The following is a 14,934-nucleotide window of genomic DNA, read 5'->3' as shown; positions in this document are numbered from 1 at the left end:
AATATATATGTAATATATAAATATATACATTATATTTATAAAATATATATTCTATATAAAATATATGATATGATATATAAATATATAAATTATATTTACGTATATGAAATATATTTTAATATATATTCTTTTATATACAAACATGTCATTTATAAAGCATGTCAAACATGTATATTTATTTCTGTAAGCTAGTTTCCATTACCTCTGTTGTTGTTACATCTACTGAGAGGACTTTTCCTGAGCTCCACAGTGTCAGTGTCACAGCCAGGATGAAATGTGCACTTGCCAATCTCCAGTCCAGCATCTAAGGGTTACATATGTCATAGTTAGCATTGATTCGTTTGGAATGTAAAGACAAAAAACAGAAGTTCCTAAAAGGACTGTTAGAGGCAAATGGTAAGCCAAATTATTCGGCTTCAGTATATTTGAGTGCATCTCTACAAAACGTAAATAATACTTAATAGAAGCTGTCCATCTCCCAGAACGAATTCTGTCAAGGTTTCTTTTCCATGGAGACCCTGGATTAGGGTTGTACAGCTATAATAATAATTTAATTCAAACTGACCCACAATATGAGAAATGCAGGTAATGTAACTATTTTTTTACTGTCAGACCTAGAGATTACAACATTATATATGTAACTGAGGAGAAATTTGTAACAGTGGTAAGGCATTAGAGCGTAAGTCCTGATTGGTCTGTGGTGAACCAGGGAGACTGTAGTGTCTAAAAATATTTAAATTCAAAATTTCAAAACACCCACCATCCATTAGGAGAATTTCTTTATGTCCTTGTGTCATGTCAGGATTTCATAAGCAAGATTCAAAATTGTTTTTAAAAAACTATGTTTTTATATCAAAATTAAAAAATTACATATTAAATACAATAAAAAAAGACAAATTACTTAATGGAAGATATATTGAATATATACATGATATGTACAATATATACATAAAAGAAAGATCAGCATTTGGAAAATGTAAATGAACCCTTTAAATATAACTTTAAAGATAGACACAAATTAAATAAAAATGGGCCAAAGTTATGAACACACATTTCATAGAAAAGAGGAGAACTGAAGGGACAAAACCTTCCACAATACATACACTTTCTTTAATTCAAATAAAAATAGAAGTAAAATGCCATTTTACACACATTAGATTGGCAAAAAGTTGGTCCACCTTGCAATGTTAGAATGGTTTTAGGAAAAAAAATTCTGGTGGAGTTGAAAATGAATCTAATCATTTGGAGAAAATTGGATGCTTTACAAAAAAGTTGAAAATGCTTATCTCTTACCTAGGACACATTTATTTCACTTCTAGGTATGTGTATACTACTGAGAAACTGTCAATGTTTATATGCAACATGTATCTGAAAGTTCATAGCCTCATGGTATATAGTAGCCAAAAATTGGAATCAACCTAGTGCCCCATTCAAGAGAAAATAGATTTATTAATTGAGATTTTTTCAGACTACTGATTTAAAGTAAATGACTTAAATACATATTTACTGTTAAAACAAATAACTTAAATGTATGTTTGTCTGTATGCATGGATTTCAAAAAAACAGTTTTGTGGAGAAACGGAAAGTATAGAACAATACATGACATTATACCATTTACTGAAATTGTAAATGCCCAAAGCAATATCATATATTTTGGAATATATACATATAAAATATAAACCAATAGAACTTGATTCATGATTATGATTACCTCTGCAGAGATGAAGAAGTGAGTAAACTTATAGAAAAAACATAAGGGAATCAGTTTTTAATCTATATGTATTTTAAAGCAAATATGTAAAAATCTTACACATGTTAATTCTGGGTAGTGAGCACAAAGATGTGTTTGACGTTTTAGATTAAAAAGCCACTATCCAGCCAACTGAAGCTCATCTATGGCCTACATCAGGCTGACCTGCTGCTAGTTTGACTACTGGAAGTTACAAAACTGTAGGTAAAATGGGGCATTGCTCTACTCAGGGAAGATCGTGGAGTATGAGCTAGAACAAAGTAGGCATGAACACAAGCTTTGCCACTTAGTACATGGCAATGGGAAAGCCTTCCAACTTCATCCTTTATGAATGACAAGTCTCAAGAAACTCTATTTTCTTAAAAAAAAGTCATTTGGAAAACCTGCTGGGGGTAAAGAGCAAATGGGTGCTAGAATGGAATCTGTAAGATTGGATTTGAGTCATGTTTTTGCTTTAGTATCAGTGTAACCTTGAATAAGTATCATTTTACCCTACTTAAGCTTCATTTCTACTTTTTGTGAAATGAGAAGTAATTCCCATCTCAAAAAAGCTTTGAGAGGATTGAATCGATTCATGCATACCCCTTCTCATTTACTATTTATAATCTGTAAGTGAAAGAATATGAGGCATCACTAAATATTTCCTTAATAACTACATTTGTTTTGGTGTGACCCAGGATTTTTTTTGACATTTTCTTGAAAAATTGTTACTGTGGCTCTTTCCTTGCCCTCAATGTGTTTGCACAGAGGCAGAGGCTCGGGTGCGTGCCACTGCTAACGCACTGCCGTGAGTTGCCTCCAGTATTGGAGGCGGGGCCTGGAGGGAGACCACTGGATAATGGAGGCAGATTTTCCCTTTGGTGCTGTTCTCTCCTGAGAGTGAGTTATCGCGAGATCTGATTGTTCAAAGTGTATAGCACCTCTCCTCTCTTTTTCCTCCTGCTCTGGCCATGTGAAGACGTGCCTGCTTCCTCTTTGCTTTCCATCACAATTGTAAGTTTCCTGAGGCCTCCCCAGCCGTGCTTCCTGTACGGCCTGTGTAACTGTGAGCCAATTAAACCTCTTTTCTTTATAAATTACCCATTCTCAGGTATTTCTTTATAGCAGTGTGAGAATGGACTAATACAGGTAGCTGCCATAAAACTGACAGAGAGGGAAGACCCTGACAAGTGGTTGATTGCAGTTGTGCAGCAGTTAAGTTCTGTGGCAAAGAATTTTAGGCCTAGGATGTCTTCAAAGAGTATTTCAAACGCAAGAAATGGAAAAAAAATAAAACTTTGGCCCACATTCCTAAAAAAACAACAACAAAAAACAACTTGTCACTATGCAACAGTGTAGATTTTAATAATCAATGTTACATGCTGGTATGTGAACAAATGTTTTATGTAAACAGAATAGTATTTGTATTAACTATGTCAGTTAAGACTTAAAATGGAGATACAATATTTTAGCACTGTCTATAACATTTATTTATCAAATATAATTTTGACATGCAATGTTTAAAATAGTTGTTCATTTTGACACCAATTAATCTATTTCAGAATCTTGTCTCATAATGCTAGTTACTAGAAGCTTCTCCATATTCCGTTCTTTTCTAGAAGGGAGCAATAAATTCTGTGTTCTCTTTTCGCTAACTTGATATTTGAACTGAGATTTTCTGTAAACATAAAAGCAAAACCAGTAAATCATGACTATGTCTCTAAACTGGGAAAATAACCAATAAGAATGCAATAGTTATCTGATGAAAATACCAACCAAAACCTGTATTAGTGATTACTTTAGGAAGCCAGCCACTTAATTGTATTCTTTTTCTCCTGATTTTGCTGATGTCTCTTTGACTTTACATAAAGGAGGATGTACTAAGAACATATCTGTATTTTTAAAATGATTTCATATTTCCGATATATCTTTTTTATTTATTTATTTTTGTGATGGAGTTTCACTCTGTTGCTCAGGCTGGAGTGCCGTGGTGCAATCTCAGCTCACTGCAACCTCTGCCTCCCAGGTTTAAGCGATTCTCCTGCCTCAGCCTCCTGAGTAGCTGGGATTACAGGTGCCCACCACCACACCCAGCTAATTTTTTGTATTTTTGGTAGAGACAGAGTTTCTCTATGTTGACCAGGCTGCTCTCGAACTCCTGACCTCAGGTGATCCACCTGCCTTAGACTCCCAAAGTGCTGGGATTATAGGCGTGAGCCACCACGTCTGGCCTGATATATCTTTTTAAAAGAAATTGTTGTCCCATTTAATCAAAGACAAACTACAATTCTTTATGTTTTCCTTTCTTGCTTTTTGTCATAAAAATAGGTTTCAAATGTGAAAATTGCCCAAATTTATATGCCTTTCCATGTGGATTTCCTTTAACTATTTTTATGTACATTTCACTAACCAGGTTTCTCCTCTTCTCTGTAATCTTATAAATGGTACAGGATGATGAGTGTTTACAATATTGATGATTATGTCTGAGGTATATATTTTTGTGCTTGGGTGTATATAGGAAAAAATCATGATGTATCATCTTACAGATAACCACATCCTGATTATTTGGATAAGGAGATGTAAAAATAAATGCTGAGTTTAAATACACACATTTAATGGTTTAAAGCCATGCTTGTAGCCAGTTAACCAAAAGGCCAAGTTCCTAAATGTGGCATTTGGTACACTAATGAAAACAAACACCCTGGCACCTGCCATACAAAAGACATTTGATTAACTAGTTGAAACTTGATTGCTACAAAATTAGAAATGGAGGAAATTATAGGGAGGAAAGGAAAAGTCTAAGTTCAGCCCCATTTTCCTATTTTTGTTGATAGTGGATAAATATAGCCCATGATTTAAAATCTCTTAGGCACCATGTATACTCTAGATCACAGAAAGTTCAATGAAAGGGTGTTCATTGATTGCGTGAATGCACCAAAGTAAAGGTGTTTGCATTTTTTTTTAGCACATCATTATTTAAAAGTAATTTTTGAGTAATATTTCTCTGGATAGTGTGGAGTTTCAAAAGAAACAGCGACCATGGAATCCGCCTTATAAGAAGATTATCTGTGTACGTCCTTCATTTTTTAGACAATTGGACTATTATGTGTTTTGACGTTTTAAATAATTCTGCTGAATAAACAAATGTCTTATGTTGTATAACATCTTATGCTTTATTTTAAGGACTTTCCACATGTAAGAATTGACTATACCCTGAAAGGATCTTTCAAACTGGCTAGAATGATGGTATATGGAATAACGCAGTGAGGTATAAAGTTTTGTCAGGAGGTATAAAATTTTGTCATTTATGTTTGGGATATATTGTATATTTTTAAAGAGGTGTTAGAGTTCCAATTCACATTAAAGGCTCTGAAATTCCAGCAATAAAGAAAAACTGGCTTAATTATATTTAAACCAGAGTTTAATAAGAAGCCTGTTAAGATGAAGAAAGATGTTTTTATTAGTAGGAATCAGTGTTGCAATGAGCTATTTTTATTGTGAAAAAAGTCTCTCATGTGGGCTGGGGTAGAAAAAAAGAGATTGAAAATCATTTATCTACAAAAGAAAGAGCAAACTTCTATGAGATGTATAAATGTTAGAGATGGTTAGGCTGAAAAAGAGAAGCAATGTAAGCCAGTATCTGATCTCATGCACCTATTAATCAATAAGACTTTTAAACTATCTGCATGTGAAGTCTGGTGTTGAACAACAAAAAAAAAACAACTCAGGTGTAAAGGACATTTCTCTTCAACCTGCAAATTTATGATTAACATCTGACTTATGGATAGTTGATCCAACAATTAGAAATTCACAAAGGTACTAGGTTTGTGAGTAAATCTTGATATTGTCTAGGAATTTTTAATTATTTACCCTAATACCTTGATTGGCAATACTCAAAATAGACTCCAGTCTCCTTTGAACAAAAATTTAAAATAAAGGACTTAATTAAAGGATTTACAAACTAATTCAACGGCTACATTTTCTTTACTTTCTCTTCTCACCGCGACAGAGCACATACATTTAAGAGATTTAGCAGGATATTTTATAAAGGGGCCTTAGTTCTGACACCATGAAATGACCATGCGTGCCTGCCGACAACACCGCCTAAAATCTTCTCCCATTGAAATAATGGTGTTCTTCCAGGCAAGTCGTGAGTCAGCTTGGCTCATAAGTAAGTCTGTAAAACATAATACGTTCTTCAGGTTACCCTTTACCCACTCCATTAAGTTATAAACACTCAGGAATAATAAATGACAGAGTGACAATAATTTTTTATCTTAGAAAAAGGCCTAAAAGGGACAGTGCTTAACACAAAGTCTGCATAGCTCTCTGTAATGGAAAAAAGACCTGATGCAAGAGTCGTGAGACTCAGGCTCTTCATTGCCTCTGTTGCTATTTAGTGATGTGATGTTGGGCAAACACTTTCCTCTCTAGACCAACTAAAATGGAGATGGTCTAACTGACCTCTAATGTTGCATCTGGCTTTTAAAGCTCACTGGTGAAGCTGGCTATTTTCTGGTAAAAGTGCAGACACTTAACATGTAGGTAATGAGAATAGTGCAGATTTAGCTAGGAAAACTGACTGGATGAGTTCCTCAAATCAGCCAAAGTTTATGCAAAAAATTGCATCTAGGCTGTGACAGAAATATTTTCCTCTTTCACTTTCAGTATTTTTAAAATTAGGTATTTCTAGCTGAAAAGAAAGAATCTCCAAATCTTTGATTTTGGGATGTCATTTATGGTAAGACATTCCATTTTTAAGAACATGTTAAGAAAAAACAATGCTACCAATTAAATTGATATGCTTATCAAATGTAAGACTAATTCCAATTTCAGAGATGTTAAATGTGAGGCAAAATTGATGACATATGGTAATATATTTATTTTAAAATGTTTACTTAGGATTTTTTTTTTTTTTTCTGAGATGGAGTTTCGCTCTTGTTGCCCAGGCTGGAGTGCAGTGGCACGATCTTGGCTCACTGCAACCTCCGCTTCCCAGGTTCCAGCAAGATTCTCCTGCCTCAGCCTCCTGAGTAGCTGGGATTACAGGCCCTGCCACCGTGTCTGGCTAAGTTTTGTATTTTTACTAGAGACAGGGTTTCGCCATGTTGGCCAGGCTGTTCTCGAACTCCTGACTTCAGGTGATCCACTCGCCTCAGCCTCCCAAAGTGCTGAGATTGCAGGCATGAGCCACTGTGCCAGGCCTTACTTAGGATTTTTTTCTTACTTCTCTTTTTTTTCCTATCATGCATAAGTCAGTATGCTCATTTCCCTACCCTTTCAAAACAAAAATTGTTAGAACTGAGGTTCCAGATGCCATAGAATGCAGTTATATCCTCTCTTTTAAGCTGAGAGAAAGAAAGACTTGTATGATATTTAACTTGGTTATCAGATAGAAATGTTGCAAGTAACATAAATAATATTAATAATTTAAAAATAATTGAGTACTACTCTCCTGCATTTTGAATTAACAGTCTGTCAAGACAAAATAATCATTTGAATATTTTCTCAGTAATCATGATCTTAATTTTAGTAGATATAAAATTGGTGAAGACAAAATACGAATTTTTGATAATAAGAATTTTCAGATCTCTACAACCTCCACCAGCATCACAAATGTGTGTGATATTAGTGAAGGTTTTATATACATATATATATATATATTTTTTTTTACTTGACGTGACTCCAAAAATTCTCTGTCAATGAAAGAATAAATATTCAAAAAAATATTCAAACTCTTTCAGACAATATACAGATATTCAGCATTATGCTGGGGAAAAACTCAGGCTCAGACTTGAAGGACAGGAATAAGAGGTTTAGCTGTGCTCCTTAATGGGCTAATGATCTTGAACAAGACTCTAAAATATTCAAAACTGTCTAATGAAACTGATTTTCTTCACAAAATGTAAGTTATTTAACTTTAGTTAATCTTAATTTACAAACAGCACAAATTATGGAATTGGCTTAGAGTTCAAATAAATAAGCCTTTTAAGTTTATATTTAATATTGTTTCCTAAAAATATATGAGGATATAAATTTATCTGTGAGAAAACTACACCTTTTTAATTTGTGTTTTATTATAACTAAAAACTTTACAACGGAAACTAAAATAGTATGTAGAAACACTTTGTAAACTATAATTTGAAAATATTATGTTTTTAAAACATAATTAAAAAAATTGTTTTGAAGTGATTGTTATGAAGCTGAAGGCAGATGTTTGAAGCCAATTTTTTTCTATGAACACAAAATTTACACCCAACAGTCACTTAGGGAACTTACAGCCATTCATAGGGACAATCTGCAAAACTTATATTGAAAAAACCAAAAGGATAAATTATAGTTTGTCATTCTATAGGTAATCTCGATATTTCAATAAGTGACAATATTTGAACAAAGTTTTAAAGAAGGTTTTTCTAGCTTTCTTTGATTAGGGAAGCACCCAGATGATTGAGAGACTTACCTGCTGGAAAGCAAAGATTGGGACCTCCAGCCATTGCGGTCTCTTTTTTTATTGAAACTGCGATTCCAGTCTCTGATGAATTTTGCCTCACAAACCAGATAACTGAGTGTGGCTGTGTCACTTAGAAGCTTAGAAATGGGTAAGAAGTTTGGGATCTTCATAAACTCAAATTCGAGATTTAAAATCATTGAGGATTTTCACCCAAGAGCAATTGAAAATTGCTAGTGGCTTGTAGCTTCTGTCAGTGTCACATATATCATCTATATTATCCTCATAAAAAATACATTTGAGAAATACTCGTGGTGCATAGCCATTTATTTAAACATTTCCTTCTGAAATTTGCTATTTTTAATAAATTGTGTAATGGGAATTTACTTTATGTTTTGGATTCCTGAAAAAAAGGAGCAAGCTGACATTGAGAAATTTAACATTTCCCGTTAAAAAAAAATTAAAATATCAGCTGGGCACGGTGGCTCACGCCTGTGATCCCAGCACTTTGGGATGCCGAGGTGGGCAGATCACCTGAGGTCAGGAGTTTGAGACTAGCCTGGCTAACACGGTGAAACCCCGTTTCTACTACAAATACAAAAAAATTAGCCAGGCGTGGCGGCAGGTGCCTGTAATCCCAGCCACTCTGGAGGCTGAGGCAGGAGAATCGCTTGAACCCAGGAGGCGGAGGTTGCAGTGAGCCGAGATTGCGCCATTGCACTCCAGCTTGGCCAACAAGAGCGAAACTCCATCTCAAAATAAATAAATAAATAAATAAAATATCAGGAATGTGTTCTTCCCATTTCTCAGTGCTCTTCAATTGGCAGTAGCAAATTTTCCAAAGTCACAAAGCCAGTTAGAAGAAGAGCCAGAACAACAACTTTCATTTTCAGACTCCCAGTTTCATGCTCTTTCGAGTATAACCTATTTGTGTAAGTGTAAAACCCTTTTCTATCTCCCAAACAAATTTTTTATAAAGTAATATTTTTATGGATGCAGTGTTATTAATGTGGCAGATACCTACATTTTAAAATGACTGTCCCTGAAGGCAACAAATTAGGAAGAATGATAAGTTACTAGAACATGTGTTAACTGATTTTATTCTATTTGGCACCATTTTCACTCTTTTTTAGATACTTTGCCTTCCAAAATCTTAAAATTTTATTTTTAACTATCTCTGTCTGTTTTTTTCCTCTATTTGGATTTGTGATTAATGCTACTAATCTCTTTCTTGCAAAAATTAAGAAGCCAGAAACCTACAATGCCACCTTAGAGAAAGATTCCATTATTATTTTAAACCCCCAGATCTGGATGTTTAACAAAGGGTTTAGTTGTTATAAACTCGTTTAGGGCAGAGACCATGTCATGTTCACCATTGCATCTCAGCACCTTACAGAATGCCTGGCACAGGGTCAAATGTGTGTGTTGAATGAATGCATGGAGCAGCCTTATGTGGAAGGTAAACAGGAATGCGGGGCAGATACTAATATCCCAGCTTTCTTGATACGAAAACCAAGGTAGAGGGAAGATAAGAGATTAGCCTATGTTTCTACAGCTACAGTAAAATGTGATGAAGTTCATGCTGGAATCCTGATACATCCATTAGTATTTAACATCACAGATTCTCATTCTAATGAAAGTTACATGCATCACTAACCTCAAATAATCATTCCTCTAAACTTTAGGATTTCTCCTTTTCATACATTAATCTGTACCTAAATCCCCAAATAACTAAATATTTCTTGATATAAAACTATGTTACCTAAAAATAGAAAATAACATTAGTATATAATTGTAGGCAATTCTGTTAATGAAATTTGTTGTTTAATTCTAATGCTCACTAAAGGGAAAATAGCTTTAAAACTGTACATAGGGAAAAGCTAATAGAGTTGCACATATCGGCTGGCCGTTCCATACATAGGCAACTTTTTACGCAGCATTAAAAGGCTTGCAGAGGGTAAAATTGGATAAATTAAGTTAAATATAGCATATTTAAATCTGAAGTTAATGTGGAATTTCACGACCCCCTTCACTGTTTACTCCACTTTGTACTTATATAAAATATTTGATCAAAATCTTACATCATAATTACATTAAGCTAGCCAACATAATAAATGGAAAAGTATCTCTAACATTAAACAAAGGGGCAAAAATATAAATTTTATACTACTCAAAAACAGGATGCATTTATTAGGCATACACTGCATGTCAGATACTGGGGATATAAAAGTAAAGAAGATACTTTCTCTGTCTTCCTGTTGCTCACAGCCTGGTTCAGGTGGAAACTCCTCAACCGCTTGTCCTGTCTAGGGATTTCCTTCTGCAAGAGCAGATCCTTTCTGGAATGCTTCCACTTTCTTCAAATAGAATTGTCATACATAAACTTTTGAAAAAATAACATTTGCATAGTGTTTTACTATCTTGAAATTAATCTCCTGTCATCCTTACAAGTCATGTTAGACCTATACAGAAAACATTATAATTCTATTTTTTAAACATCTGTGAACTGAGACAAGCTGAGTTACTTTAGAAATCTGGTCTCCTAACTCCTAGTATTGTATGTATACTTTGTAATACAACAAAGTGAATTAGTAGAAACAGGTTGACTCTTAAGTTACATAGACCTGGATCTGAATCCTGATTAGGCATGTCATTTAGCCTTTTTGTTTTAACTTCTCCTTCAGAAAAATAGGGCAAAGACCTAATTTGTAGGCTTAGTATGAAGATCAGAAGTAATCTGGGTAAATCAGCAGGCATAAATTAGTTACTCAATAAATAACAGTTATCATTATCCTGATATTGCCTTTGAAATATGGCAACTTTTCAAAATGTTTTTACTACTTTTTAATTTTTATGAAAAAATATTTTTATCCTTCATTTTAACGAACAAAATTATTCCTCAAAATCTAGAATTAAGGCAGAGTGATAGAAAATATAGTAAGAAAAATAATATTGAATGGGGGAAGAAAATTTCACTCTAGAGAGTTATAAATAGAAATCACTCTAACATTTGGTGCATTATCATTATTTTGAGTCATAATATTTCTATAAAAATTGCTTCCAACTATAAAAAATGTAATCCTGGGAAAGAAACAAAAGAAAGCTCAGCTGTACTGAAGGCATCATTATTCTTCTAGCTCTAATTGTGCCACCTAAAGTGAACTTTTAATACCATTTTATATAATATTTTAAAAGTGGAATTTTCACATATTTATAGCCTTAGGTACCCTGGGAATATAGAATTTTAGAAACAGAGGAAGCAATCATTAAAAATTGTCAAATTTAATATCCACAATTAATAGATGGAGAAAGTGAGGCTCAGAGAGAATGAACCTGCTCAAAGGAGGGGAAAGAAGATAATAATATAGAAATTGTTGAAGAGGAAGAGAGAGCAGAAGGTGGTGGCAGAGGCATTGTTACTGGAGGGAGGAGATGGTTTGTATTAAGGTCTGAGCTGATGGAGTGGCAATAAGGAAGAAGGCATCACTGCTCCAGGGATGTACCGTGACACTTATCTGAAGAAAGAAGAGAAAGAGCTAGCTAAAAAAAATAAATAAATAAATAAAAAATGAAGCCTTTAATCTGAGAGATCTTAAGCCATTTGGAGAGTTGGTTCATTTAAGAGAGATACCCAGAGTTAGCACCTTGTTGTAGCTTACTTGTTGTATCCCCACAAGCTCCTGAGGGGAGGAGAATAAAGCTTCAGGGAAGCTGAATGGTTTGTCCATAAAGCTGTCGAAGTCAGAACTAGAATTAGAAGTCTAGTTTTCTGCCTCCAAAGCTTGTATTTCTCTGACTGAACTATTGAATCTAAGCAAAAGTTGTCTGGTAGGTAACAGTCATAGTAAATGAAATATTGGCAAAGCAGTTAAATTAGCTCTAAAGATTAGTCCTAAACTTCTGTGATACTGAGGTTTTATTCTCTAATATAGGGAAAATTGACTGACATGGGGGCTTCCTCAAATATTTTTATACTCAGTATCCCTAGCACTTCTATTTTTTTTTGTCCTTTTCACAAGGACAAAATACAATATTATCAAGCCTTAATTCGTGCTTAAGGCTTGCCTGCAGTTGTATAGGTGGATTATAGCAGAGCTAGAATGATATATTAGGATTTCTTACTTCGAGTTCTTTATTTTTGAGACAAGTTCAATTAATCTAATTTTATTAATCAAATGTTCAAATCATTGAGAGTATTTGTAAAAGAAGTTAAAATTATAGCCCTGAGGTTCCCGTGCCCAGTCAACTGAAGATATCTGCTTCTCTACTGCTCATTATTCAGTATATAAGAATCAGTTAAAAATCCTGAGAAATAAGGGGGAGAAAGCAAATGTCAACCTTAAACACTCTGAATAATTTTTGAATGAAGCCATAGTAAAATTCACTGACATGAAGGAGACCTGAACTGTTATCTACAGAAAGTGCTCCTTAGAAAAGTTCTGTAAGCGTGCTGAAGAGTAGTACCAAAGTAAGAGAAAACACAGAATGTCCCTGGTGTTTTTGGTATAACACTATCAATTCTATAACTTATATAGGCATTAAAATTACCATAATTCATTCTCAAAAATGTTAAATTTTTAGAAGGAAAACTCATAAACAAATAATAATCACATTCCTAAACCTATAGAGTCTGTTATTCAAAGAAACAACATTTGAATTGTTAGAACTGAATTCACTGAGTGCACACTAAACCTGAAATAAAATTTTAAATTTCTTCTCCAACAGAGCTCAAATGTATGTTTCAGATTAACTCTCAATTCAATCATTGAATAGCAAGAGCACTACAAATACTGAAGAACAGGCATACTCTAAGTCTACTCCAACTATGTTATTAATATCATATTTGCATATTTGACATATAAGGAGAAAAACAGAAGATGCATTAGGTTTTAAGAACATAAGAGATAGAATTTCATTAGTTTAGGGATGTTTCTTAAGCTCCAGTTTTGATAGAAATAATGAGGAAAAAACCTTTCTTTTTTACCTAGGTTGTTTAGACCACTCTTTTATATTAAACATTTTTCTAATATTACACAATTTTGAGGAAAGCAAAATAACGCTAATAACATATATATGTATAGAATTATTATTTTGCATTCACTTTCTGTTTGTTTTGAAATGGAAGAGAAAAGCAATCTTATAAATATGAAATATCTGAATAAGCAATTAGTTCTACCTTAAGTTTGCATTACAAAAATATCTTTGATTTTCTACTCATTTTAGAGAGGGAAATATTACCACTCTAATTTTAACAAAATCAAGATATAATCAAAACATTTAAAGAGTCTGTGAAAGTAAAAATAATAGTTAAAAGAAGCATTAAATCTTTATCAATTTTTACATATAACTTACCTCGTGAAAGATCAGGAGATTCTAACTTTAGAGTACTGTCTCTGCAGTTTCTCCAAAACTCAGCCCTGGTGGTGAGTTTTCTCTCTGAGTTTTTATAGTCTCAGTTATACACCCCTTACTCCAATCCCTGCCTTTGCTTTCTCTTACATCATTTCTACAGATTTTCCACTGAACATTTTCCCAAGCCTCTCTTCGATCTCTTTCTCTCCCTCCCTCTCCCTTCCTTCTTCAGTTTCTCCCTCCCTCCTTTCCCTCCATATTTAGTCTATCTATTGCTTTGATCATGGCATTTAAATAACGATGGAAGTATAGGCTCTGGAAAATTTGAATATAGATTTAGTATTGTGTTCAGCTTCACACCCATCACCTCTTCCTGAGGTTTTAGTCAAGCTCTGATTATTACAAATCATATTTGGGAAATAAAATGCACTAAGATTTGTTAAAAAGTCACCAGGGAATTTCAATGTACGATATAGAGAGATTGTAATCAGACACAAACGGATTTATTGGTGTAATTTTTGGACCTTTAAATGATCAGCTATGGAAATAATGAGTACTTTCAGCCTCCGTCAGGTGCACAGTGCTGTGTCAGTGAAACACAATGACAGCTACTTCGTAATTAACATTGCTATACTGGGAAGGCTGTCACTAACAAACCTATAAATACTGAGCTGTGACATGTGAGCTATAAATGAAGACGTTGTAATCATTTTTGTCTTGCTCTTGTTCTTCAGTACTTTGATTTCTTTTTAACCAAAATATTTCTGCCTTTGGCTGAAGGTTTTCTTTCATTCTTATCTCCTACTAATTATATTTGCATCCTTACATACACAAATTATTTTTTAAATGAATTATTAAGTTATAAAGGTAACATGTTATGTTATTAGATCGTTAATGGCTCATTTGATTCACCAGAGGGTCCCCATCTGACAGGTAAAGAGGCCAAGGCTCAGATAAATTAAGTGACTTTATGAGATCACACACGTAAGAAGTAGTCGCAGAGCTGGATTTCAAATGCAGATCTTCCTAATTCCATATCCAGTTCTTTTCCCACGACTGCATTCTATCTCACTGCTTTAAAAGCTAGAAAAGAGAATCCAAACCAGATTATATTTTTGCACAAAAAGCAATAAATTTATTCTTTTTGGTTTCCCTAAAAAGGCCATTTAAAATACTAGTCACTAGTATAAGGACAATTACATGGTTAATTTGGATCTAGATGGGGAAACTGACCAGAGCACACAGAATTAGTGGGACAGTAAAATGCTTCATTTTTATGATGGGTTTCCAGGGATAACATATGTCTCAACAAGCTTGAAATTTGAGTAGTTGGCAGAGACAGTTCACAAATCAAGATAAAAATACAGCCTAATTGTGGACCCTTGTTTAGACATTACTGCCATAA

At 33.9% G+C, this 14,934-nt stretch overlaps 1 protein-coding gene across 2 annotated transcripts in view; it reads right to left on the bottom strand.

Moving 5' to 3' along the window:
- OSTN (osteocrin) overlaps nt 1–13,596 on the bottom strand; it is a 66,375-nt gene extending 52,779 nt beyond the window's left edge. The window contains exons 1-2 of one of the 2 annotated variants that reach the window (NM_198184.2): nt 13,530–13,596; nt 203–304 (exon numbers count right to left, since the gene is read on the bottom strand). In NM_198184.2, coding sequence (NP_937827.1) covers nt 203–304 — 102 coding nt within the window. In that variant the 5' untranslated portion in view covers nt 13,530–13,596. Of the gene's footprint in view, nt 1–202; nt 305–5,747; nt 5,907–13,529 lie in introns of those variants that run through there. The other variant, XM_017006303.3, reaches the window with a different exon arrangement.
- Nucleotides 13,597–14,934: the final 1,338 nt, after the last annotated feature.

This window comes from Homo sapiens, chromosome 3 (assembly GCF_000001405.40).
Source record: "Homo sapiens chromosome 3, GRCh38.p14 Primary Assembly".
Classification (NCBI taxonomy): Eukaryota; Metazoa; Chordata; class Mammalia; order Primates; family Hominidae; genus Homo; species Homo sapiens.
The sequence above is the reverse complement of the archived record's forward strand: the minus strand, read 5'-3'. Positions and strand labels throughout refer to the sequence as shown.